The following is a 26217-nucleotide window of genomic DNA, read 5'->3' as shown; positions in this document are numbered from 1 at the left end:
CTATCAAGAGGACAGTATGGGGTACTGCCCCAATGATCTAATCACCTCCCACAAGGTCCCTCCCCCAACACATGGGTATTACAATTAAGATTACAATTAAAGATTAGATTTGGGTGGGGACATAGAGCCAGACCATATCTCAGTTTATTTAGGTAACGAGAACTGTGTATTGCAGTTACAGGGAGGTAAAAACAGAGAAAGACATTTGCAGGAAAAGGAAAACACAGTGTGATTTCTCCAGAGTCATCTTCATTGCTATACAAATGCTGAATGTTTTCACTTTTGCACGACATGGAACTCGAACCCACAAAAGGCACATGGAGCCCACTACAGAATTATACTTCATTCAGGGCACCTCTTAAATCATCACTTGATAGGCAGTAGCTTTGGGAGGTGGCCACTCTTCTGGAAGGCAGCCCTCCATCTTCTGGGCATAACAGATCTGGGAAAGTAGCAGTGGAATTGAGAAACTCTAGTCCAGGGAAGAATAAGCCCACACTGCAAGAAGAATAAGACGCTTTCATGGAGTTACCAGTGAATGCCCTTCATTGGAATCAATTGCCCTGGTATAAATGCAATGAATAAGAAAGTAAGGTGGGCATGTAGCAAGAGTTGATTGTCTGTAATTATTTCCATAATATTAGAGTATTTACAATAAAATTAATGGGAAATAATAATAATAGCTACCACTCCATAAGCATTATAATGAGCACTTAGTGGACAATGTTCTAAGTTATTTTACATATATCATCTCATTTAATTCTCACTGAAGTTTTATATAAAGTATTTTTGCTTAACTTTCACTTTACAAATGGTGAAAATAAAAAGCAAAGATATGAGTAAGTAGCTTCATGTCACACGTTCCATAAAATGTGGAGCCATAATCACACACTGAGCTATGTGACACTATTCTCATGCTTAACCATCACATCTGTTCAACTGGTGACTGGAAATGCAAAACTTTAATCATGGGAATAATTCTAGTTTGGTCAATGTCATTGCTGGGAAGAGTAATAAGCTTATTAGAAGCCAGGATTCAAAAACAAAATGGCCCGGGTGAATGTAGAAACGAATAAAATAATTTTTGACATGGACAATCATAATCTTAGATAAAAAGAAACTATACCTCTACTACTCTGTGAAATGACTAGCTGTGAGGTATGGAAAATTGGCTGAAGTTTTAGAGACATAGACCATCTTATGACGAAAGATTGTGGTGTGGCTGTGTCAGGGCAGCCCATTGAAAATAACCAGGAGTCAAGCCCTGTTACCAGGCCTGGTTCTGCTACAACCTTGTGGGGAAAGAATACAAAGCAGCATATTAATGTCTACAGTCAGAGTGTATGGGTCTCAATATTGGCTTCACCACTTCCCAACTCCATGGTTTACACAAGTTACTGATCTCTGCTCTGCCTCAATTTACTCATCTATAAAATCGGGAAAATAATCGTAGAATTTGTTACAAAGTTTTTGTGAGGATTAAGTGAGTCAATCCACGTCTTAAGTTTTCATTGCAAATAAGAACTTGACTACTTAATATCTATTCCATCAATGACTTAATATGCATTTATAAATTACTTAGATATGCCAAATATTGTGATAGATACTGGAAATATAAATGTGAATACGACTTCAAGTTGTTCACCATTTGGAAGGACAAAGTATCTCAAAACCACCAAAACATTGAAAACAGTATGTGTGTAACATATTACATCTGTGAGAATGGTTATTATCAAAAAGACAAAACATAAGCGCTGGTGAGGATGTGAAGGGAAGGAAACCGTTGCACACCATTGTTGGGAAGGTAAGTTAGTCTAGCTATTCTGGAAAATGGCTTGGGGGTTTCTCAAAAATAACAAACATATGAAAAAAAAGCTCATTATCACTGGTTATCAGAGAAATGCAAATCAAAACCACAATGAGATACCATATCATGCTATTTAGAACGGCGATCATTAAAAAGTCAGGAAGCAACAGATGCTGGAGAAGATGTGGAGAAATAGGAATGCTTTTACACTGTTGGTGAAAGTGTAAATTAGTTCAACCATTGTGGAAGACAGTGTGGTGATTCCTCAAGGATCTGGAACTAAAAATACCATTTGACCCAGCAATCTCATTACTGGGTATATACCCAAAGGATTATAAATCATTCTACTACAAAGACACATGCACATGTATGTTTATTGTGGCACTGTTCACAATAGCAAAGACTTGAAACCAACCCAAATGCCTATCAATGATAGACTGGATGAAGAAAGTGTGGCACATATACACCATGGAATACTATGCAGCCATAAGAAAGGATGAGTTCATGTCCTTTGCAGGAACATGGATGATGCTGGAAACCATCATTCTCAGCAAACTAACACAAGAACAGAAAACCAAACACCACATGTTCTCACTCATAAGTGGGAGTTGAACAATGAGAACACATGGACACAGGGAGGGGAACATCACACACCGGGGCCTGTCAGTGGGTGGGGGTCTAGGGGAGGGATAGCATTAGGAGAAATACCTAATGTAGATGATGGATTGACGGGTGCAGCAAACCACCATGGCACGTGTATACCTATGTAACAAACCTGCATGTTCTGCACATGTACCCCAGAACTGAAAGTACACTAAAAAAATTAAAAATAGAACTGCTATATGATCCAGCAATCCCACTACTGGACATATATCCAAAGGAAATGAAATCAGAAGCTCAAAGGAAAATATGCACTCTCATGTTCCTTATAGCATTATTCACAATAGTCAAGATATGGAATCAACCTAAGTGTCTATCAACAGATGAACAGATAAAGAAAATGTGGGAGACACAGACACATATGTATGTATGGATATGGATATATATCTATATATATATAGATATATATATATGGATGGATGATATGTAAACTAATATATGTATATACATACAAATCTACACAATGGAATACTATTCAGCCTTTAAAAAGAACAAAATTATGTCATTTGGGACAACATGAATAAGCCTGGAAAACATTATGTTAAGTGAAATATTTCGGACACAGAAACACAAATACCAAGTGATCTCACTTATATGTTGAATCTAGACAAGTGGGTCTCATAGAAGTAGAGAGTAAAATGGTGGTTACCAGGGACTAGGGGTGGGAGTGGAAAGGGGTTGGGGAGATGTTGGTTAAAAAAATTATGTGTGACAGAGATATAAATTAGTGATTACAGACCAGAGGAAGCAGTTAATTTTTAAGTATCTCGAAACTTTAACAAGTACTTTAAAAATATGTTACAAAGAGAAGATAAATGTTTGACGTAATGGATACCCCAGTGGCCTGAATTTGGTCATTGCACATTGTATATGGGTATCAAAATATCACATGCACTAAAAAATTACAATTATTACATATCATTTTAAAAATTGTTAAAATGGAAAAAATATCTGTTGTCTTAAATGCACACCTAGATGGAGTATTGTATATATTGGCCAATGTCTATCAATTGGACCATTGTTCGTATTCAGAGCCATTACTGACCTACCCATTTCCATTATCCAAATATCCAATCAATTATCTTGACTGCTGAAATGTGTCTTTATCTTTAAATGCATTTTTCTAATAATAAAAGAAAACAGAAGCTAAGTATGGAAAACATTGGAATAAATTATAAGGAAGAGAGAAAAATTAGCTATAACACCACAACCTAGAAAAAATTTAGATATTCATAGTGGTTATTTCTTTCCATCTGTTCTCTTTGTGTGTGTGTGTGTGTGTGTGTGTGTGTGTGTGTGTATAGAGAGAGAGAGAGGTTATAATATATATCCTATATCTAATGTATTACATAAATATATTAACTCTTCCATATACATTTTTAATTTTTCATTTTGAAATAATTTTGTACTTACAGAAGAGTTTCAAGAGAGTACACAGACTTCTATATATTCTGCACCAAGCATTCCCTAATGGTAACTGTCGTATATTTATCAAAACTAACGAGTTAACACTGATAAAGCAGCATTAATCAAACTGCAGGCTTTATTTGGATTTCCCAGTTTTTCCACTAATGTTCTTTCTTCTGTTCCAGGATATAATACAAAAAATCATCTTGCATTTCAGTTCCCATGTACTTTAGATACATTAATTACAATTATAAATTAACTTTCCATGTATGTACTTCCCACTCCACATAGGACTCTTAACACATCAAGTATACTCTACTATAAGCTTTCAGTCTGGTTCCTATATCCCACTTCCTTTACTATTCCTCAAAGTGCTACCTATAAATCATCACCATCCTGCTCAGAAACCTTCAACCTTACTCTGAGAGAAAAACCGAAGGTTCTTTGGAGAACATTAGAGACTCTCCACATTCAAGTCCCAGCCTGCCTGCTCTCTTCCCTGAGGTGAGCTGGCCTGAGCACTGCCCCCAACAGCCCACAGGCTTTATGCTTTCTACTTCCATATTTTTACCTATATTATTTGTATTATCACTCAGGTTATTTTTTAATTGTATTATTTTCCCTTGCACATGAAAGCCATCCCCACCCACCTCACTCTCCTCTGCTTATACATAGTCATGCATCCCTTAATGACAGGGATACGTTCTGCGAAACGCATTGTTAGGCAATGTCATCATTGTGCAAACATCGTAGAGTGCACTTACGCAGATTTAGGTGGTGTAGCCTACTACACACCTAGGCTATGTGGGGGAGCCAATTGCTCCTAGACTACAAACCCGTACAGCATGTGACTGTACTGAACACTGTAGGCAATTGTAGCACAAGACCAAGTTTTGTGTAGCTAAACATATCTAAGCACTGAAAAGATATGGGAAAAATACAGTATAAAAGTTTTTTTAAAAGGTAAAAAACGGTAGGGCACTTACCATGAATAGAGCTTTTGAGACTGGAAGTTGCTCTGGGTGAGCCAGTGAGTGAGTAGTGAGTGAATGTGAAGGCCTAGGACGTTACTGTACACGAAGACTTTACAAACACTGTATACTTAGGTTATACTAAATTTATAAAAAGAAATTTTCTTTCTTCAATAATAAATTAATCTTAGCTTAAAATAATGTTCTTACTTTATAAACTTTTAATTTCCTTAATTTTTGACTCTTTTGTAATAACATAGCTTAAAACACAAACACATTTTACAGATGTGCAAAAATATTTTTATATCCTTTTTCTTTAAGCTTTTTTCTATTTTTATTTTACTTTACTTTTTAAACTTTTTTGTTAAAAATTATGACATAAACACACTCATTGTCCTAGGTCTACACAGGGTCAGGATCATCAATATCAGTCTTCTACCTCCACACCTTGTCCCACTGGAAGGTTTTCAGGGGCCCTAACAGGCATGGAGCTGTCTTCTCCTATGATAACAACCCCTTCTTCTGGAAGACCTCCTGCAGAATCCGCCTGAGGCTATTATACAGTTAACTTTTTTTCATTAGTAGAATGAGAACACTTTAAAAGAATGATTAAAAGTATAGTAAACACATAAAACAGTATCAATCTATGATCATTATCAAATACTGTGTATCACACACACTCATATATCCTAGACTTTTATGCAACTGGTACCACAGTAGGTTTGTTTACACCAGCATCACCACAAACACATCTTAGCACAACGCATTATGCTAAGATTTCATGATGGCTACGATGTCACAAGGTGATAGAGATTTTTCAGCTCTATTATAATTTTATGGGACCAGCATCGTGTATGTGGTTTGTCATTGACCTAAACGTTGTTACGTGACACATAGCTGTACAACTCTGATTCTCTAAAAATTCACCCAGCATTGTTTGCTATCATTTTAGTCTCTATCCTAGTTCCCCAACCAGTTCATGAACTTCTTTGGAGAACTGTCTTGTCTGCAGTATTGCATCTCTATAAAGTATTGCACAGTTTAGTTTAATCAATACGTACTGATTGAGCAGCCGGACACCTTCAACTCTAATGATATAAATAATGTGATCTCTGGGTGTCCAGTCCAGCACTTAAGGAGCTTGGAAGTTGTCACTCCCATCATTTAAGGAGCTCAGAACTTGTCACTCCCATCCTAACACAAGCAAAACAGCCAAACAGAAAATTAACATATATTTTTAGAGTCATCAGAGAATTAAGGTCATAGGAAAAACCACTGACACCAGAATTAGACACGGACAGGCAAAACATGAATCCCAACTTACCAGGACAGAGACTCATAAACAGATACTTCTGTGGGAAGCAGAGATGGTCCCATAACAGGAAAAGCCAAACTATAATTGATGAATTGCTGGGGGCTCAGTGTGGACAAGTTTGAGAGTTTAAAATAATAGCTCGACACTAACTGTGCCTTTACCATGCTTCAGGATATAAACATGTTATATATATCAGCTTAACTAACTCTCACAACAGTCTTATAAGGAAGTTTATCTCCATTTTACAGATAGGGAAACTGAAGCATGGGAAACTTGAGTAAGTTACTTAATGTCACTTGGATAATAAACATCGGAGCCAGGATTTGAATCCAGGTGAGTTGGCTCAGGAACCCACACTCTTAATGATGCATTACATTTGCCTGATACCAGATACAAATAGCCACTCCGGCAAGGTCATCTAGGTCAGTCATTGCTCAGGTATCACATTCAGACACTGGGAAAGCCTGGGATCACAGGCCTTGTCTACTACTCTCTTCGAGACACTCTCAGCAACTCACATAGTTGGGGGTTGTTCTTTCCTATGGCCGGCCCTACCTTGGCACTTCAACCCCCACCTCCCCATCTTACCTACTGCCACAGTTAATAAGGTTTATTCTCCTTTCACATCACCATAACCCATATTATGAAAGACCATCATCAAATGTCTCTATGTCACATTTTTCCTAATTTCATTCTTTAGGGCTCATCATGCTTTGTACTCTCTACTATGTCCCTCCCCTCAGACAAGAGCCTAAAATATTCTGATTAGTGATGAATATGTGTTCTCCGGGTGAGGCGTATTGCTAATAATTAAACAGTATTAATTCTACCAGCTTTGATTATACTCTGCTCTCTCAGTAATAAGGTTCAGTATTCTATTTTCATTCTGCCTAGCATTGAGTAATAGAATTGGTGTTTAAGAATTATCATATAAATCTATTTTTTGGTCAGCCAGTGTTGGAGGGTTTTTTTCAATATATTACAAATGTATTCATTATTCCCTAGTTCATAAAAATAATTAAAAGCTACAGGCCAAACACAAATTCCCAGAACACGAAAACCTGACTGGCATCCCACTGCCAAATACCAAGGTTGCCAGCTTCTGAGTTTATGGGTTTCTTAATGAGAACTTCTACCTTCTCATTCGATAAAGGGCTTAGGTAGACAATTCCTCCTGGTGTTCCTAGTATAATTCCTGATATAACCAGGAGTTGCAAAACTAAAACCCTACACATCTAAAATGAAACTGGCCTACTGTTATTTTATATATGTTTTTAGAAATTCAGAAATGACTTGCCCTAAAATAAAACCTGTCAAAAAAATTTCTTAAAAGTGATTCATAGAATGTAAATAACATGTGTTCATACTCTTCTAAAAAAGAAAGGAGGAAAATAACAGAGAAGGAAATACAAATAGATCCAATTCATCATTGTGATACCTAGGTTTCTCCTTAGATAAAACAGACATAAAACATGTGCTTTACAAGTCTCAGATGACCTTCAAGACATCTAAGTACAGTATCTGTGGATTTTTAAGTATAATTAACAACTTGTTTTTCTATTTAAAGAATTTTCATTCTGTTTCCTTAACAGGCAAAAGCCAATCAGTCTTGTTCTCAAATGCTAATGTAAGTAATTAAAAATAACATTAATTGAAATACTGCAGGGCTGTTAGGTTTTTAGATGGTGAGTTATTTTTTTTTCCTTCATCTTAACCTTGTGGCAATACTAATTTACATGACCAATTAGGGAAGCACCCTTTGTATGATCCATCTCTAGGATAAAGAGCTGGGCTTTAAAATCCAGCAAAGAACTGCAGAAGGCCACAGCACTGTAAGTAAGCTTGGGCGCCAGCAGCTAGAATCTTTATTTCACCTGGTAGACCAAACATGACAGATCGTCTTATTTACAGTGTGAATACTAATTTTTTTGGTTTTGGTAACAAAAATACAGTGCTCATTTGTATTGTTGTAAAACTTGTAAATATGCCCTGTAGGATAAGTAATATTCGAAGCAACATCCTAATTAAAAGGAAAACTCAGTTGTCTTGCAAGATAATACAAAAGGGCACATAAATTGTAAATAAGATACATGGTAAAAATGAAAAAGACAGGCTGGATAGGAAAGGAATGAAATAAGATTCGGAAATGTGCTTCTTAAATGAACACAAATTGTGAGATAATGTCTCACTGAACAATAAAAATAACAAACCAGTGGCAAAGATGTAATAGAATTTCCTCTGTATACCATTTTAATCTTAATATAATTTTCCCCAGTGCATCCACATTTATTGAACTACTACAACCATTTCTTTCTCACTCTGTCCAAAGTTACTGAGAGTGTGTTTCTTTGCTGTAAATAATTCCCTGATTATGAACATGAAAACGATCCAGAAATTGACCACAGTTTATAAAAGAAAAAAAATGACAGAGCATCTGCTCAGGGCCAAAAGCCTTACAAGAATGCCAAAAGCATGTGCAGTTTCCTCAGGGAAGCAGGGGCTGCATGCAAAAAACCATTTTCCCTTCCTCCTGCATAAGGCAACTCCACACCTCTATTTCTTTGTTCCTGTCTTCAGAAAATGCAGAGAAGACTTCCATGGTACCTCAAACTACAGTTTGCCATCATGTGAGAATAGGGCTGATGCCAAGGGAAGTGCCAAGTCCAGTTAATCAGAACCCAAATGGCTTGAGAAAGATGCACAACAGTATGGCCTCAGTTTCTCAGTCTGCAAAATGGGGATGATCATAGTTAAACCTCTTAGCTTCAAGTCTAATGGGTAACTAGGTGCTTACTGAAGTCTACTGAAATATGGATGTGAAAGACCAAACTCCACATACGTGAAGGGTTTGCTGGAGGGGAGACATGGAGGCCAGAAGGAGCCCTGCCTCTACTCCTGACCCCTACCTTAGGAAGTTCAGTAAAATGTCCAATTCCAGTCAACCCCATACCAATCTCAGACATTTCAACTACCGGGGTAATAAATCCCCACCCCACCTTTGCTTACACTGAGGTTGGTCATTCACTTCATGTATTTTTTTCATGAGGTTCTTAAGGTTCTAAACTTTAAAGAAACATTCAAAAGTGGAAATTATGCCCTGCTTATCACTTAGCTTTTAATTTGGCACCACTCTGCCAAATTAGGAATCTGTTTTTTACTGAACATCAACACTCAAATACTTTTTCTGCCATTCAAAGTCTAATTTATTCTATTATTTTATTATTTTTCAAAAGTTCATTAGGCAAAAGGGAGATGTACTTGTCCAAACACACAAAATATGGGCCGAATATATTAACAAGTAGATTATCAATTCACTATTTTGTTGAAATGAATGCATAACTGTATAATGTGACTTTTAACTTTGATTTTTTATGTAGAAAAATTATGGATCACATGGCAGTGGATCACCTAAGCAAAAACAGCTTATGGAATCAGAATAATTAAGTTCACAAACAGGTACGCTTATAATAAATGGTCTCCTGTTACAGTTGCAAATCATGGTTGTATCATCTTTATAAACTTTGCATTTTTTTCTAGAAAAATGTCTAAGGATTTAAATTTATGTTTCCAGGTCTATCTGATTTTGCAATACAAAAATCAAGGTTAGTGGTTTTCTCTTCCATTTTTTTTAAAAACCTCATTGATCCAAATACAAATAAAGGCCATTATTAAATACTTCACGAGGCATTACATATTCAGACATTTAATCACAGATCCATTGATATTAAATGTTGATTAAAGAAGTAAGTTGAGATTGCCTGAAAGATCATCACCAAAGCAGATTTCCTTTCCAAAAGCAGACGCCTCTCCTGTATTTCTCAGCCATCTTGCCTACAGATGTGCTTCAAGGCCATTGTTTCGGATGATCTTGGCTTATTCCTTGGCCGATGTGTAAGGGACTCGGGGTCTAGCTGGGTCTTCAAAATCAACGTGGAAGAGACCAAACCGGCTGCTGTATCCCTGGTTCCACTCAAAGTTATCCAGAAGAGACCATGCACAATATACTTGAAGATTGACTTTATCAAGTTGGATAGCTGAAATTTAAAAAAAAAGAAAATTATCATTTCTGGGAAGGCCTGATGAGAACACAGACAAAATCACTGATGAGCAGTCTGGGTCTCTTTCTCCTTCTCTGCAGGAGATCACAGTGGGAGAAGACAAAACCTGTTCTCTATCCCCCTTTTCCACAAAAAAGAGATAAGTATGTAAGGTAATGCATTCTAATTCGCTTGATTTAGCCATTCTACAATGCTGTACATATATCAAAGCATCATGCTGTACACCTTAAATATATCCAACTTTTATTTGTCTATTTTAAAAATCCCCTTTTCCAGTTTTCTGCTTGAATCAAGCAGGGGCTTAATTCAATAAGTTGTTATATATTATTCTAATTATTCGGCAATTCATTCATTTCGAATTTACTTCATTCATTTACTCAATGAACAATTTTTCAGTACCTATCACTTTTTAGGCACAAAGATACACACACAAGTTCCTCTCTGGTACCTAGAAGGATATTCAGTAAAGACACTGTTCCGTTTGTAAGTACAGCCTCCAGGTATTCCAGAAAGTCCACTAGAAAATTGGAAGAGATAACAGTAGCATGCCTGAGGAAGCCTCAGAGCTTACCTGCTGTCCCCATGGTCAAACTGAGACATGTCTTATAATTCTGGAGACAGAGCCTCCAAAATGAAAAGAGTCAAGGGTCAGCACGCAGCTTCAGCCATGACTATATCCTAGACCGAGGGAGTACAGAAATGCTATGGCATCCTCTCTTAGTCTGATAGGGTGGCTATAACAGCACACCATACACTGGGTGGCTTATAAAAAGAAAAAATTTATTTCTCACAGTTCTGAAGGCTGGGAAGTCCAAGATCAAGGTGGCAACAGATTTGCTGTCTTGTGTGGGACTGTATCCTGTTCACAGATGAGTGTCTTCTTGCTGTGTCCTCATATGGCAGAAGGGGCCAGGGAGCGCTCTCATACTCTACTTATAAGGGCACATATTCCATTTATGGGGGCTCCATCCACATGACTTAATCACCACCCAAAGGCCCCACCTTTGGGATACCGGGAGCTAAGGTGTCAATATGAATTTGTGCGGGGTTGGAGGGGACAAAACTTTCCATCCATAGCACATCCTCTTTGCCCCATATCTAAACTCAAAATGGTGCTTAAGCCCTTTAAGAGCCAAAGCAATGGAGCATCTCTCCACTAAGTGTATACATTCATAAATATTTGGTATGATTTTATTTGTGGATGCCCAGAAGCCCATCCACAGACTCCATGTTAAGACATCAAAATGTAGATTCAACACATATAACTATTCTCCACATAGTTTCACACTGATTTCCATCACTTTATTCAGGGAATTTAGCTTACATTTTCTTAGCATTTTAAGCTTGGCAAAACTCTGAGGTCTTGTGAGTCCTTGCATTGCGCATTTTCTTTTTTAAAACCAGAATAAATAAACCCAACCTATGGGATGCACTTCCTAAAACACCAAATATCCATTTCTCAGTAGAGAAATTAAATGAAAAGGCCAGTTGCTTTATAAGGTGGATATATGTCTAAATAAGCTAGGTGAGAATAAACATTCATATACTAAATCATATTTTAATTGTTTCAGAGATTGCTTTCAACCAAAATGACTCCTCTAAATATTCAGCAAAATAATACCTAACCTTTAATTTTTTCATTGGTGTCCATTTTGTATTTCAGGTCTCTTAAAAGCACTATATCTATATTCCACTACACATGCGTTGCTCTCCAAACATTCTTGGAATTTTTTTCTATGGATATTCCGTAGACAAAAAGCCCCCAACAGTCTAACGTATAACCCCCTCAACATTTGTGCCTGGAGGCGTAAGATCTGCTTTGCTTAGAGAGTTTTTTATAAATAGCCTTGAGGCAGGAATTAAGCCAAGCTGGATTGACTCCTTTAATTTTTTTTTAATTTTCAATTTTTGTGAGTGCATAGTAGGTGTATATATTTATGGGGTACCTGAGATATTTTGATATAGCCATGCAATGTGTAATAACCACATCATGGTAAATGGCACGGGGTACAGTGTCAACCATAAGGCTGTCCTCACTGTGACACCAACCACGACCACACGGTAACTGATGTGATTTATCATGATGTTATTATTACACATTGCATGTCTATATCGAAGTATCTCATGTATCCATCCCCTTAAGCATTATCCTTTGTGTTGTAAACAATCCAATTATACTTTTAATTATTTTTTAATGTACAATTATATTATTATTGACTGTAGTCACCCTGTTGTGCTATCAAATACTAGGTTTTATTCATTCTCTCTATTTTTTATAACCATTAACCATTCCCACTTTGCCCCCTCCTACAAACCCTCCACTACCCTTCCCAGCTTCTGGTAACTAACATTTTACTCTCTATCTCCATGAGTTCAATTGTTTTAAATTTTAGCTCCCACAAATAAGTGAGAACATGTGAAGTTTGTCTTTCTATGCCTGGCTTATTTCACTTAACATAATGTCCTTCAGTTCCATCCATGTTGTTGCAAATAACTGGATCTCACTCTTTTTTATGGCCAAATAGTACTCCATTGTGTATATGTACCACATTTTCTTTATCTATTCATTGATTGATGAACACTTAGGTTGCTTCCAAATCTTGGCTATTGTGAACAGTGCTGTAACAAACATGGCCATGCAGATATTCCTTCAATACACTGATTTCCTTTCTTTGGGGTACATACCCAGCAGTGGGATGGCTGGATGGTAGCTCTATTCTTAGTTTTTTGAGGAACCTCCACACTGTACTCCATAGTGGTTGTACAGATTTACATATTAGCTCTTTTTAAATAAATATTGTTGAGAAATAAGAAATATAGCAATAAGCACATTAAGCTGTGCATGAATAAAAGCATTACTAGATATCCCTTTTTCTCCTACCTGTCCACATTTGCTATGTCAGTTATAATCTGGAAATATCAATGTTTTATATAATTTATTTTTTTAAGAACCCAGTTTAAGTACTGGATGGCATATCTCTAAGAATCAAAATGGTCTGGCCAGGCGTGGTGACTCATGCCTTTAATCCCAGCACTTTGGGAGGCCGAGGTGGCTGGATCACCTGAGGTCAGGAGTTTGGGACCAGCCTGGCCAACATGGTGAAACCCTATCTCTACCAAAATTACAAAAATTAGCTGGGCGTGGTGGCGGGCACCTGTAGTCCCAGCTACTTGAGAGGCTGAAGCAGGAGAATCACTTTTACCTGGGAGGCAGAGGTTGCAGTGAGCCGACATCATGCCACTGCACTCCAGTCTGGGCAACAGAGTGAGACTCTAACTCAAAAAAAAAAAAAAAAAAAAAAAAAAAAAAAAATATATATATATATATATATATATATATATATATATATATATATATATATTTATCTCAAAGCCAAATACCAGGCCAGAAAGCAATAGTCTCTTTTGCCTTGTAATTCAACCTGGGGACATGTGAGAATTTGCATATTTTCTTTCTCATTTGCAGAACCACTGCCCAACAAGAAACCCTGCCAGGTATAAAGCCAGACAGTTTCTGAAAACACACATGGTCCCACTGATCACATATAAAAGGATTGATTCATGTGCTAAACCACTGGACAAAAACGATGCCTTGCCTGCTTGGAAGGGAACAAAAAGGAAATCTTGACAATTTCATTGTTAACTGCCAGGAGTTCTGCAGCAGGCACTAAACTGCCCGAGTGACACTGGTGAATGTCTGTGCATTTTCATTGCAGGAACATTGAAGTAGAGAATTACTTAGTTAAGACTGAGGAACTAGCCTGCTGGAATCTTCCTCACTTGCCACCACTGGGAAAAATTACAAAACCACACTGGAACCTGCATGCCTCTCCTCTTCCAATCTCCTCAAGAACCAAAAGAGACCATCATTACATTTCTTGCCACCATGATTTATGAGGTCTTAAATCTTGCCAGGGGGAAAAAAAACACTTCTATGAGTTCACTTTCTGTTTCCAGAGTTGGAGTCAAAATAAACACAGGAGCTTTGGGTGAGTATGGAGCACACTAGGATAAAAATGACATGCATCACAAAGTCAGGGTATGGGTTTGGACTACAAGATCAGTGGAAAACGTCTCACAGTAAGCAGGTTGGAAATAAAAGTGTAAGAGAAGTATCTAAGCCTTGCTAATATGTTATAGCTTCTTTCGGGCTGTTCTAATTATAAATACCCTATGCAGGCTAGGCACGGTGGCTCACACCTGTAATCCTAGCACTTTGGGAGGCCAAAACGGGCGGCAGATCACCTGAGGTCAGGAGTTCGAGACCAGCCTGGCCAACATGGTGAAAAACCATCTCTACTAAAAATACAAAAATTAGCCAGGCATGGTGGCATGTGCCTGTAGTCCCATCTACATGGGAGGCTGAGGCAGAAGACTTTCTTGAACCCAGGAGGCAGAGGTTGCAGTGAGACAAGATCGCACCACTGCACTCTAGCCTGGGTGACAGAGTGACACTCTGCCAAAAAAAAAAAAAACCCTATGCTAGTGTTGTACTCTACACATGCGCGCACACACGCACACACACACACTCTCTCACACACACATGCACACATAAATGCACTGCCCAGTTAGCCAGACTGAAAAGGTTGAGGGCATAACATCAACCATAAGACTGTCCTCACTGTGACACCAACCACAAGATCAAGGGTTTGCCAAACCTTCAGTTTTGGTAATTTGCTAAAAAGACTCACAAAATTCACAGAAAACTGTTATAGTCACAGTTCTGATTTATTACAGGAAGAGATAGAGATTGGCTAAAGAAATAAATGCATAGCACAGGACCTGAGGGGTTCCAAACATGAAGTTTCCATATGACTCCCCTGGGAGTCAAATGCATTGTCTTCCTGGTATTAACGTGCACAATACACATAGAGAATTGCCAACTAGGAAAGCACACCTGAGTTTTAGTGTACAGAGTTTTTATTGGGGGCTGTATTAGGGTTCTCTTAGAGGGACAGAACTAATAGGATATATTATGTATATAGGATATATATGTATATAAACTACGCTTTATATATAAAGTATTAACTTACATGATCACAAGGTCCCACAATAGGCTGTCTGCAGGCTGAGGAGCAAGGAGAGCCAGTCTGAGTCCCAAAACTGAAGAACTTGGAGTCCAATGTTTGAGGGCAGGAAGCATCCAACATGGGAGAGAGACGTAGGCTGGGAGGCTAGGCCTGTCTTGTCTCTTCATGTTTTTCTGCTTGCTTTGTATTCACTGGCAGCTGATTAGATGGTGCCCACCCAATTTCTGCTTGCTTTATACTCACTGGCAGCTGATTAGATGGTGCCCACCCAATTAAAGGTGGGTCTGCCTTCCCCAGCCCACTGACTCAAATGTTAATCTCCTTTGGCAACACCCTCACAGACACACCAAGGATCAATGTTGCATTTTTCAATTCAATCAAGTTGACACTCAGTATTAACCATCACAAGGGCTTTATTATAGAGGCATGATTGATCAATTGATTGCCCAAGTGGATTAACTCAGTTTCCTGGTTAACTGATGCCAGGAACCTAAAGCCCCCACATTAAATGTGATTGGTCTTCCTGATGTGATGAGCTCCCAACCTAAACAAAGAGATTTTTTTCAATTATGATATAGATTGCCTCTTAGAAGCTGAGTGCAAAAACCAAACCGCTCTTTGGACAAAATTTAATTCTTCACTACACGTGTGTGCATACTCATATACATAGAGACATTATTTTAGAAACTCATTATTTTATGACAAGGGGCAGAATCTTTTTAAGTTGCTGGTTTATGAAACATCCTAATTATGCTTGTGTTTGTCACATTACAAAACTCTAGAAATTGGAAGCTCAGCATCAATGGAATTTATTTTTCCACAATTTATAAACAGAGGTAGTCTTTGTTTTCACGATGGTCTAGGACTTATATATAAGATACCTGTGGATGTGACAAAACTATCAAGCTATCAAAAAAAAACCACTCATCCATAGACCCAAGCTGCCATGTCAAGAATCAATGGAAAAATTCAGGACAGTGCAAAAAGCAGCCGCCTCACAAAGGAAAAAAAAGAGAGGAGTAAAGTGCCAGGAATGAGCAGGGAGAAAAAATATATAGGCCTCTAGATTTTTCTGTTTAGCTAATGGCAAGCTATAATATTCAAGGAAACCTTCCTAAGGAAAGTAAGTAAAGAAGGCTGAATATAGTTTTTAAAAATAAATCTTCAAAACAATGGAAATCTGACAAGTTAGTAGAGAATTAACAAGTCAAATTTGAAAGTGGAATTTGAGGTTGGTAGACATGAGAGCTACTTTTGCCTGATGGCATGTTCCAATCTTAGAAAATCTAAATCTTTTTCTGTTTCCTGGGGTAAAGCTAGATGTCAAAACTCAGAGTCATAGCAGGTGGGAAGTCTAGTATGAGACCCCACCCAGAGAAGACTACACACTCAAAAGATAAAACACTCCGTGTAATGGTGAGAGAGTGCCAGAGACAAACTAGTCATTGGAAAGTCTTGAGTTTAATCCCCGGTGGTTCAACAAGTGTAAAGTCTGGATCTTGGTTTGAGGTGATGGCATACTGGTAGTACCCCCAAGTACCTGGCAGATGGACATTCAAGTTATTTTTGAAAAGAGTGATCTGTATATTCTAAAACTCCAATAGTTATTACAATATTTTAAGTATAATCATCAGCACATAATCATATATAACCAGAAAGACATGGAAAATTATGACATAAAGAAAAATAAATAACCACAATCAACAGACAACAGAAACAAATCCACAAAGCACTTAGTTATTAGAACTGTCATACAGACTGTACAACAACCACATTTACCATGCTTAAGGAAAACAGACAAGCCTGAAATATCTTCAAGGTTAGGAACCCAGAAACACTGAGGTGACATGTTTGGAAAGGGAACCTCTACAGGCTTACATTTTAATCCCAGCTGCACCAGTTGCTAGCTGGAAGGAGCCTCTCATTTCTCATGAATACAATGGAGACACTATTATCTACTCCTAGTGATGTTAAAAAGAGTAAATGAAATAATAAGGAAGGCCGAACCCAAGGTAAAATAAACACCAGGAAGGCACATGGACAGAGGAAAGACCATGTGAGGACATAGCGAGAAGTTAGCCTCTGCTGAAAAATGCCGTATCTCCTTTCAGAAATGTATGGCGATCACTGAGAAACTAAGAAGATGCTTTGGCTCAGCAGGGCCAAATGCCTTTTTAGCCCACTGCTTAGCTGAAATCCAGCTTCATCCCCAGTGGATCAGGAAAGTTCTCTCAGTTCACCATGTGTGTGGATTAATGGTGGCCCCTGCAAAGGATAAGTCTGTCTACCCAAAACTTGTGAATGTGGCCTTATTTGGGAAAAGGGTCTTTGAGAATGTAATTAAATTAAGGATCTCAAGATGAGATCATCCTGGAAGACAGTGTGCCCTAAATCCAATGGCAAGTGTCCTCAGAAGATAAGAGAAAGGGCAAAGACACGCAGGAAAGAAGACAACGTGGAGACAGAGGCAGAGATTGGAGTGATACATCTGCAAGCCAAGGAACACCAAGGGTTGCCAGCAGCCACCAGAAGCCAGTATAGAAGCATGGAGTAAATTCTCCCTTAGAGCCTCCAAAAGGAACCGGTCCTGCTGACACCTTAATTTTAGACTTCTGGCCTCCACAACTGTGAGAGAATAAATTTCTGTTGTTTAAAGCCACCAGGTTTGTGGTAATTTCTCACAGCAGCCACGGGAAACTAATGCACCATGCTCTTTTAGAGTGGTTGCCAACTGGGCTCTGAGTCCCAAACCACCCACCTGATCTTCCTGGGGTCTTATGAGAACCTCTCTCAAGGCCTGTCAAAGCTGGAGAAAGAAAGCCTTCCGGGGACCCAGCTTGAAGCCAATTTTCTGGCAATTGCACCCACACTCACTTTGAAAATGTGTTTCTTTGAGTTTGGTTGAAATGCACAAGAGCATTACAATTGGAGGGCATCTCTAGCTGGATAACAGTTTTTACAAGAAAACTGGCATGTTGGCTGTTTTCTCTTTTCATTGGAAAAAAAAATAAAACAACATCAGGAAGATCTAAACATAGAAAATGCATCATAAGCCCCCCACTCCAACTCCAGCTGAATATCAGTGGCTGGACAACATCTGTGAAAATGCCCAAATAATCCCAGTGCAGGAAGCCCCACCTGCAGACGGGAACTCTTAATAGCAAAAACTATGACTTTCTGAAAAGAGAGTCTTTGAAAACCAAAAGCTAATTTTTAAATATTTTATAGGAAAATGCCAATTAACCAGAAAAAAACTGCACAGATTTCTTAATTATCAGTATTATTCCTACTACTTACATTAGACTTTGGAGAGAAAAGGCTGCAAATAGCAAGTAGTTGAAAGGAATTATATTTTAAAAATCTAAATGTTAAAGCTGATCTGAGGCTAGGTTCATGTTCTGGGTCATCTTCTATAACTTCTCTATCAATATTATTTTTACAGTATCTTATCCTCCAGTAGAGAAGTTTCTTTTATGGGAATGAAATTTCTTCTCAGCAAGGGAATTTCTCTTCTATTGGAAAAGCTGCCTTCCTTACCCCGTTCCCTCCCTTTCTCTCTACTTTCCTTTCTTTCTTTTGTTTTTCTCCTCTGGGACTTACTTTCCTCTTCTGCAAAATGGGGTTATAGTATCATTTTCATAGGATTGTGGTGCGTATTAAATAATGAATAATGCCTAGTAAACACCCAATATAAACTACCTCGTTGTTGCTATTGTTTTTATTTCCCTCAGAGTCTGGGAGGGCAATGAATGAAATCTGTTTTATCTCTTTCTCCCATCTGGCTTCAAACAGCTTTCAGAGGGTATAGAGTCAGCACAAAATGATCGGTGCTGAGAAGCAGAGAAATCAGGGCATAGAGGGCAAGTTCAGCATCTGGGACAGGGTTTGTGCTCTGTGAGAACGGGTCAGTTGTGGGTCACAAGAAATAATCAGCAAAAACAAGGAGCTCGGGGTGATTCTGCCAGGAACACTGGATACTGCTGAAGCTCCCCTGCTTTAGTGTGCTGGGAGATGGAGATGGCATCACTCAAGGTTTTTGGGATCCTGCAACATCCATCCTACATCCATTAAGTAAATATACGTTGTGCTAGGAACTGCGAATACAATGATGAACAAAATAAGCAGCCCTTCATTTACAGCTTATGTGGAAGGTATATCTAAATCAAATTATCACTCTGTGAGTATCAAATTACTGTCTGTGAAAAGTAGTGTGAAAAGAAAGAAGTGGGTAATGTGAGAACATTTTAGTTAACAATTATTGAACATTTAGTTACCACTTTAAGGATTTCATGTATGCATTCATCCATTTAGTCTTTACAATCAACCTATGAGTTAGATAGTTATTATCAGTGTCGCTATTTTATAGGTAAAGGAATTGATACACAGAGCGGTTAGGTAACCTTTGCAAAATTCATACATCAAGCAAGTAGGAGAGTTGACATAGAAACCCAGGCAGAGTAACAACAGCAGCAGCAGGTGAAGCCATCATGCCATACTGAGTCTTGACAGCACACGAGAGTGGAAGATCTGCCTTAATCAGCAAAAGTGGCAGAATAAGGCTAATGGAACAGTTTCCTGGAGTAAACTAGAGCTGAGTGCCCACAAATGAGTTGGATTACCTAGCACTAACCAGCAGGGCTCTTTCTCGGTTGTAAGCAACAGAAGCTGAAGTTGGCTATTGAAGCATAGAAAGTGTTGGGCTGAAAAAACAAGCTCAAATAAAGCTCTCAGGAACAGTGCTCAGAAGCACACCACAGAACTAGTTGGTTAAAGAAACAGCCTTGGGCCAGGTGCGGTGGCTCACTCCTGTAATCCCAGCACTTTGGGAGGCTGAGGCAGGCGGATCATGAGGTCAGGAGATCAAGACCATCCTGGCTAACAGCGTGAAACCCCATCTCTACTAAAAACACAAAAAATTAGCCGGGAGTGGTGGCAGGCACCTATAGTCCCAGCTACTTGGGAGGTTGAGGCAGGAGAATTGCTTGAGCCCAGGAGGCAGAGCTTGCAGTGAGCCGAGATCACGTCACTGCACTCCAGCCTGGGCGACAGACTAAGACTCCATCTCAAAGAAAAAAAAAGAAAGAAACTGCCTCAACTGCTAATGACCCAATGAGCGTGAGCTTCTGCAGTTCATGTGGCTCCCCACATCCAACTTTCTTGCAATCCTAGCAGACACCAACATCTTGGCAACTTCTGTACCAGAAACTAGACCTTACAAGGACTATCATTCTCAAAAGCTGGATGTCTCTTCTGCCATCCTTACCAGCACAATAGGTTTTGCCTTTGTCAAGCTGTTCCCCTTGAATTAAATTCACACACAGATGAGTCTGACTGGTGGGACACATGTCTGTTCCCTTGCTCCAGAGAAACCTGGGGAATCTCACTCTCTACCTTGGCTAGACAAAACTCATAATGCTGGATATCTTTCAAATGTAACCAATGTGTTCAACAAACGCTAGACAGCCGAAAACATGACAGATGTCTACAGCACTAGATGAAGAACGACAAGAGCAATCCAAGAAAACAAAATAGCATATCTGAAAGCTCAGCTATGGGAAGGGGTCACAACACATTTAAGGAACTTAAAAAAGACAGTTCAGCAGGATATATTATAAAAAATTTATGGGGAGAAAGTCGCAAAGTAGTGCCTGAGACATTCAGCTCCCTTTAAAGATTTTAAAAATTTTGATCTTTATCCCAACAGCAACAACAACAACAACAAAAATCGAAGGGTTTTAAGCAGGGGAGTTACTTTAGCTAATTTGTATTTTTAAAAGATTACTGTGACCTCTGTGGAAAACAGATTTGAGTGTAGCAAGAATGGAATCAAAGAGAGCATTTAGGAGTGATTACAGTAAATCACAACGGAGATGATGAGAGGTTGGTCTTGGGTGGCTTAAGTGAAGATGGAGCAAACCAGATGGATTCAACAGAGGAGATATTCAGATAAAAATCAACAAGATTCAGCAATTCACTGACTATCAGTGCAGAAGGAGATAAGAAAGCAAAGTTAGCACAATTTAATGAATATTGTCAATGTCTGAATTAGAAAATATTGAACACAGATAAGTTTTAGGGGAGTGGCAGGGAAGATAATGAATCAAACTTTGGTTATGATGACTTTACGTTACCTTTTTTGACCTCCAAAGAAAGAGCTGAAAAGGTAATTGCATAAACAGATAAAGAGCTCAAAGTAGAGTCCGAGATGGAGGTGGAAACTTTGGATAATGATGGGGAGATGGTAATTGAAATCATGGATGTTGAATAGAATTTAGAGAATAAGAAAACAAGACTTTGGTACAAGCCTTACAGCATTCCAGCTTTTAAAGACAGGCTGGAAAAGGGAGACAGAGAAAGAGGGCCAGAAATACCCCCAGACCCTTAAGCTGATAAAATCACAAGAGATGCTTTCTGTGGATATGATTTTACAGAAGTCACACAGCCAATACAAGGAGAATCTGAGGATAGAACCAAAGGCTGTCTGACTCCAAAGCCCATGATCTTTCCATATGGATAACATTGAAAGATTGCAAATCTAGAATACAAGGACTAGAAGTGACAAGCAAGAGTCAAAGCCACTATGGGAGGAACAATGCTAGACCAAGTGGAGAGCATGAAGTGGTTGGAAGTGGGAGAAGCACCTGGAACACCAGACCCCTAATAGCAAAAATCCTTCTATGACCTTCAAAGTCCTATATGATGAGGCACTGCTCTCTACTTGCCATTTTCCAGGGACACTGAGATCCTTTTTCTTCTTGGAATGTGCCAGCTCTTGACCATCTCATGGCCTTTACACTAGCTTTTCCATCTGCCTGGATCATTCTGGATCAATCACTTTATGATCCTTTGTTGCCATTAAGGTCTTAGTTCCAATTCAACCTTAGTTAGTCTTTTCTAACTCTCCAGTTTAAAATTCTATTCCTAACCAACCCATTCTCTCTCATGTCATCATGTATCGTTTTCTTTGTGGCCCTTACCATTAAAATAAAGTGTTTTCTTCATGTATTTACTCATGTTGTATTATTTTCCCCCAGAAGATGGAAAGGCTCATGAGAAAAAGAGATCATATTCATCTATTCTTTTTAATATACCCCACCCTGAGAACAATAAGTAGCACATAGTAGAGGCTAAGTAAACACTTGCTGAAGGAACAAGTGGGAGAGGGAGGGAAAGAGATATGAGAGGAGAAGGAATGAAAGAAAGCAGGGAGGGAGGGAGAGAGGAAGGAAGAAAGGGAAGGAGCAAAGAGGGATCATCTTAACATGACTTTAATAGGACTCTGGTCTCACTATTCCCATCTGGGTGGTGGAATCACAGCATCTCCAGGCTGAACAACAAAGGCTTCGGTGGCCATTGATTTCAAGTCCTTATCCAGCATCTTAATCTCTGGATTAAGATGGACTACCACTGCCGGTAGTCTCCGTCTCCCATCACAACCAGCCTCTGCTTCCAGTCCCAACCTGATGATTTCAACTCTCCATCCATTCAGACCAAGTATTCCCCATCGCTTACCACTGTCCTTCTACTTTATGACACTGCCTAAAAGCTCCTCCACTGTCTCAGTGGCTGCTACCACACTTCCAACTCTGATTCCCAATGCTTCTCAAGAACTCTCTATTTGGCCCTTGGCTGCATTTCTGGGCAGTCCTCTTGAGTGTTTTCCTCTTGATCTGTTAACTCTGAAAGCTTCAGATATTCTGGGGTAATAGCACCACACTCTCCTGGGCACAGCCTGAAACTTGAATGGTGTCTCCCTGGTCCTGGGAGTCCCTTAGGTTACCATAGTACAGATGGAAGAAAACATTTTCCATCATGTGATTTTATCCCTAGGCCTAAGATACACACTTTGAAATAGCTACCACTTTTTAGTCCATAAGAATATTGATCTACTTGTATATAGAAATAGTTCATTTTGGCCAGGCACGGTGGCTCACTGCGGTAATCCCAGCACTTTGGGAGGCCAAGGCGGGTGGATCACCTGAGGTCGGGAGCTCGAGACCAGCCTGGCTAACATGGTGAAACCCCATCTCTACTAAAAAATTAAAAATTAGCTGGGTGTGGTGGCATGCACCTGTAGTCCCAGCTACTCGTGAGGCTGAGGCAGGAGAATTGCTTGAACTCGGGAGGTGGAGGTTGCAGTGAGCCGAGATCAAGCCACTGCATTCCAGCATGGGCCACAGAGTGAGACTCCATCTCAAAAAAAAAAAAGAAAAAAAAGAAAGAAAGAAAAAAGAAAAAAAAGAAAAAAAGAAATAGCTCATTTCTACCAACCAAAGACACCTAAGAATATCCCCAAAAGAAAGTAGCTGATACCCTGGAGAGAAATATCAGAGTCTCATATTTCTGTACTCAAGTAAGAAGTTAAGTTCTAGGTTCTATGACTCCAGAAATGGAAAAATAGTTACCATGGGTAAATTTTAAAATGGCAACACTGAATGTGGCGGCAAAAGAAAAATATGTAGTTTTACCATAAAACTAATTTAGGTATTTCAAATTATAATTTATTAAACTGTAGCCTGAATTAACAAAATAATCTTTACACTTTCTTCTTCTTACTTTCATTCTCCATTATATCCACAAATTTTTATTAAGTAATGCTATGGTTTCCACATGTTCCCCAAAAAGCATTTGTTGGAAACTTGATCCCGAATGCCTCAGTATTGGGAGATGGGGCCTAATGGAAGATATTTATATCATTCTCTCTCTCTCTCTCTCTCTCTCTCTCCCCCCCAACCCTCACTACATGATGGCTTCTGCCATGTTATGACATAGCAAGAAGGTCCTCTATCTTGGACTTCCCATCCACCAGGACTGTAAGAAATAAGTCTCTATTCTTTATACATTAACCAGTCTGAGATATTCTGTTATAACAGCAGAAAATGGACCAAAATAAGCATCTAGTACTATATACAATTTATTGTTTCAGGCAGAGTGACTCCTATATAGGAGGAAAGAAATTTGACATAGACTTTTCCTTTAAGGCAAGTAGACTCCAAAGACCACACATAGGTTTTCTTGCTATGTACATTCATTCAATATCTTTCACTTTCTTTTTGTAACATATGTAAGACATAATTAACTATATTTTCAATGTCTGTCTTCTACTTCAGATTCTAAGTTCCAGGAGTGCAAGAATTCTGGGGCTCTTGCATTCTCAAGTCTTAGCACAGTGGCTAGTAAAGGACAGGTGCTTACTGAATATAGTCCAAATGAACAAATGGCTACAAATATATATGATATTGAATATAATGTCAGCAGTATAAGAGTAGATGAAAGACGCTTCCTAAAACGGCAAGATTTTCCCCTTGACCAAGATGACAAAATTCAACTTCAACTTTTTCAAATAACCATAAAGAGATATGAGATTTAACCTTCTTCCATTCTGATCAACTCACTGCCCATTTTCTATGTTAGGAAACAGAACATCTTCTTGTGATCACTGGACTTCAAAACCAAGTCTCTTGTCAATAACTGCTATTTGTGTATATATACATATATATATATGTGCAATAAATACTGAATAAATTATATTAAATGCCTCTTAAAAGACATTCTCAGAGGAGTCAATGCCACCCTCTGTTACAAAAGGAGAGGCTGTGTTAGCATTGTTCTCACCACTACACCACAAAAACACCTCAAGTACTTATGGACAGCTGTCACAGTAATTGCCTAGAGTTGAGAGAGATAGGAAAATTAGTACAGCTGAGAAGAAAGAGCAATGACACCTCTTTAAAATGCTACCGTGTAAGTTTTCATATTGCTGGCACCAAGTTCAAGCCCAGGTGGGCAAACCTCACCCAGACTGTCCATCCTGACCTAATGTACAAGTCTCGCTAGTCTGCTTTTTAAGGACAAGGAAGGACACTGCTTGGTGATATGGCCACAAGCTGTTCAGGGAAGAGACTTTGCTCAGCACATTTCAGCTACTGAGCAGGGCTGGGCTCATTTCAGAGAGCCACATAAAATAAATAATCATGCAAAAGCAGATTCGTTCTGATAGGGCTCTGACAGCTGCTCCGAGAGGTGGGTCCTTGCAAGCCCATCTTTCAACAATGAACTGACCCAAAGATCCAGGAAAGCTCCAGACAGGACCATATGGCCTGGAATAAAAACATATTTCAAACTCTGTTTATTATGCATATCTTTCAAAGGTTCACTACTCTGTGAGGAAACATTGCACCTGCAAGGCTTTAATAAGCTTCCCAACCAAGTACAATTATAAAATCTCAGGCACCTGAAGAATTTGTCTTCTCTTATATTTAGCCATGCACTGCCCACAAATGACTGGTCTCATTATTTTTAATTATATGGGTTTGCAGTATTTTGTAAGCTGCGATCAATACTTATTCAGAAAATAAAACTCCTTATAGGCCTCAGAATAAGAGCCATGATATATATCTCTCCTCCTAAACTCTGGAGACTCCAACATCGCATACAAAACCCTCCAGTCTTCCTGAAAAGAAAAAGAAGCAATGCAACTGTGCAGCCCTGGAAAGACAGGAGAGCATTTGACATACATTTAGGCTGAACATCATTCGTCAGGAATGTCAGGGGCGGAGGGGATATGAGCAGCTTTCCTTCACAAGTGAGCCCTGTGACTCCACATCTGGTCCAAATATGTGAGAAGCACAGTTTGTTCATTATCACTCCACAAATATCCATTTGAGCAGTTATTATGTGCCAGACTCCAGGCTAAGGGTGATGATTTAGAGATAAATGGCACGTAGTTTCTGCCCTCAGCTATAAATGGTCTCATTGGAAAAGTAGACCCAAAAGAACTGGTCTGGAAACACAGAGAAACAAGAGCTATAAAAGAACTTGAGGTATGGGCCTGGCACGGTGGCTCATGCCTGTAATCCCAGCACTTTGGGAGGCTGAGGCAGGCGGATCGTGAGGTCAGGAGTTCGAGACCAGCCTGGCCAATATGGTGAATCCCTGTTTCTACTAAAAATACAAAAATTAGTTGGGT

At 38.9% G+C, this 26217-nt stretch overlaps 1 pseudogene across 3 annotated transcripts in view; it reads right to left on the bottom strand.

Annotated features, from left to right (window-relative positions):
- Positions 1 to 9345: 9345 nt before the first annotated feature.
- Positions 9346 to 26217, bottom strand: part of GBA3 (glucosylceramidase beta 3 (gene/pseudogene)) — a 126633-nt pseudogene continuing 109761 nt past the window's right edge. For all 3 annotated transcript variants that reach the window (NR_102355.2, NR_102356.2, NR_102357.2), the window contains one exon: positions 9346 to 10194. The product of NR_102355.2 is annotated as a glucosylceramidase beta 3 (gene/pseudogene), transcript variant 1, non-coding (transcript). The remainder of the gene's footprint in view (positions 10195 to 26217) is intronic.

This window comes from Homo sapiens, chromosome 4 (genome assembly GCF_000001405.40).
Source record: "Homo sapiens chromosome 4, GRCh38.p14 Primary Assembly".
In the NCBI taxonomy this organism is placed as follows: domain Eukaryota; kingdom Metazoa; phylum Chordata; class Mammalia; order Primates; family Hominidae; genus Homo; species Homo sapiens.
The sequence above is the reverse complement of the archived record's forward strand: the minus strand, read 5'-3'. Positions and strand labels throughout refer to the sequence as shown.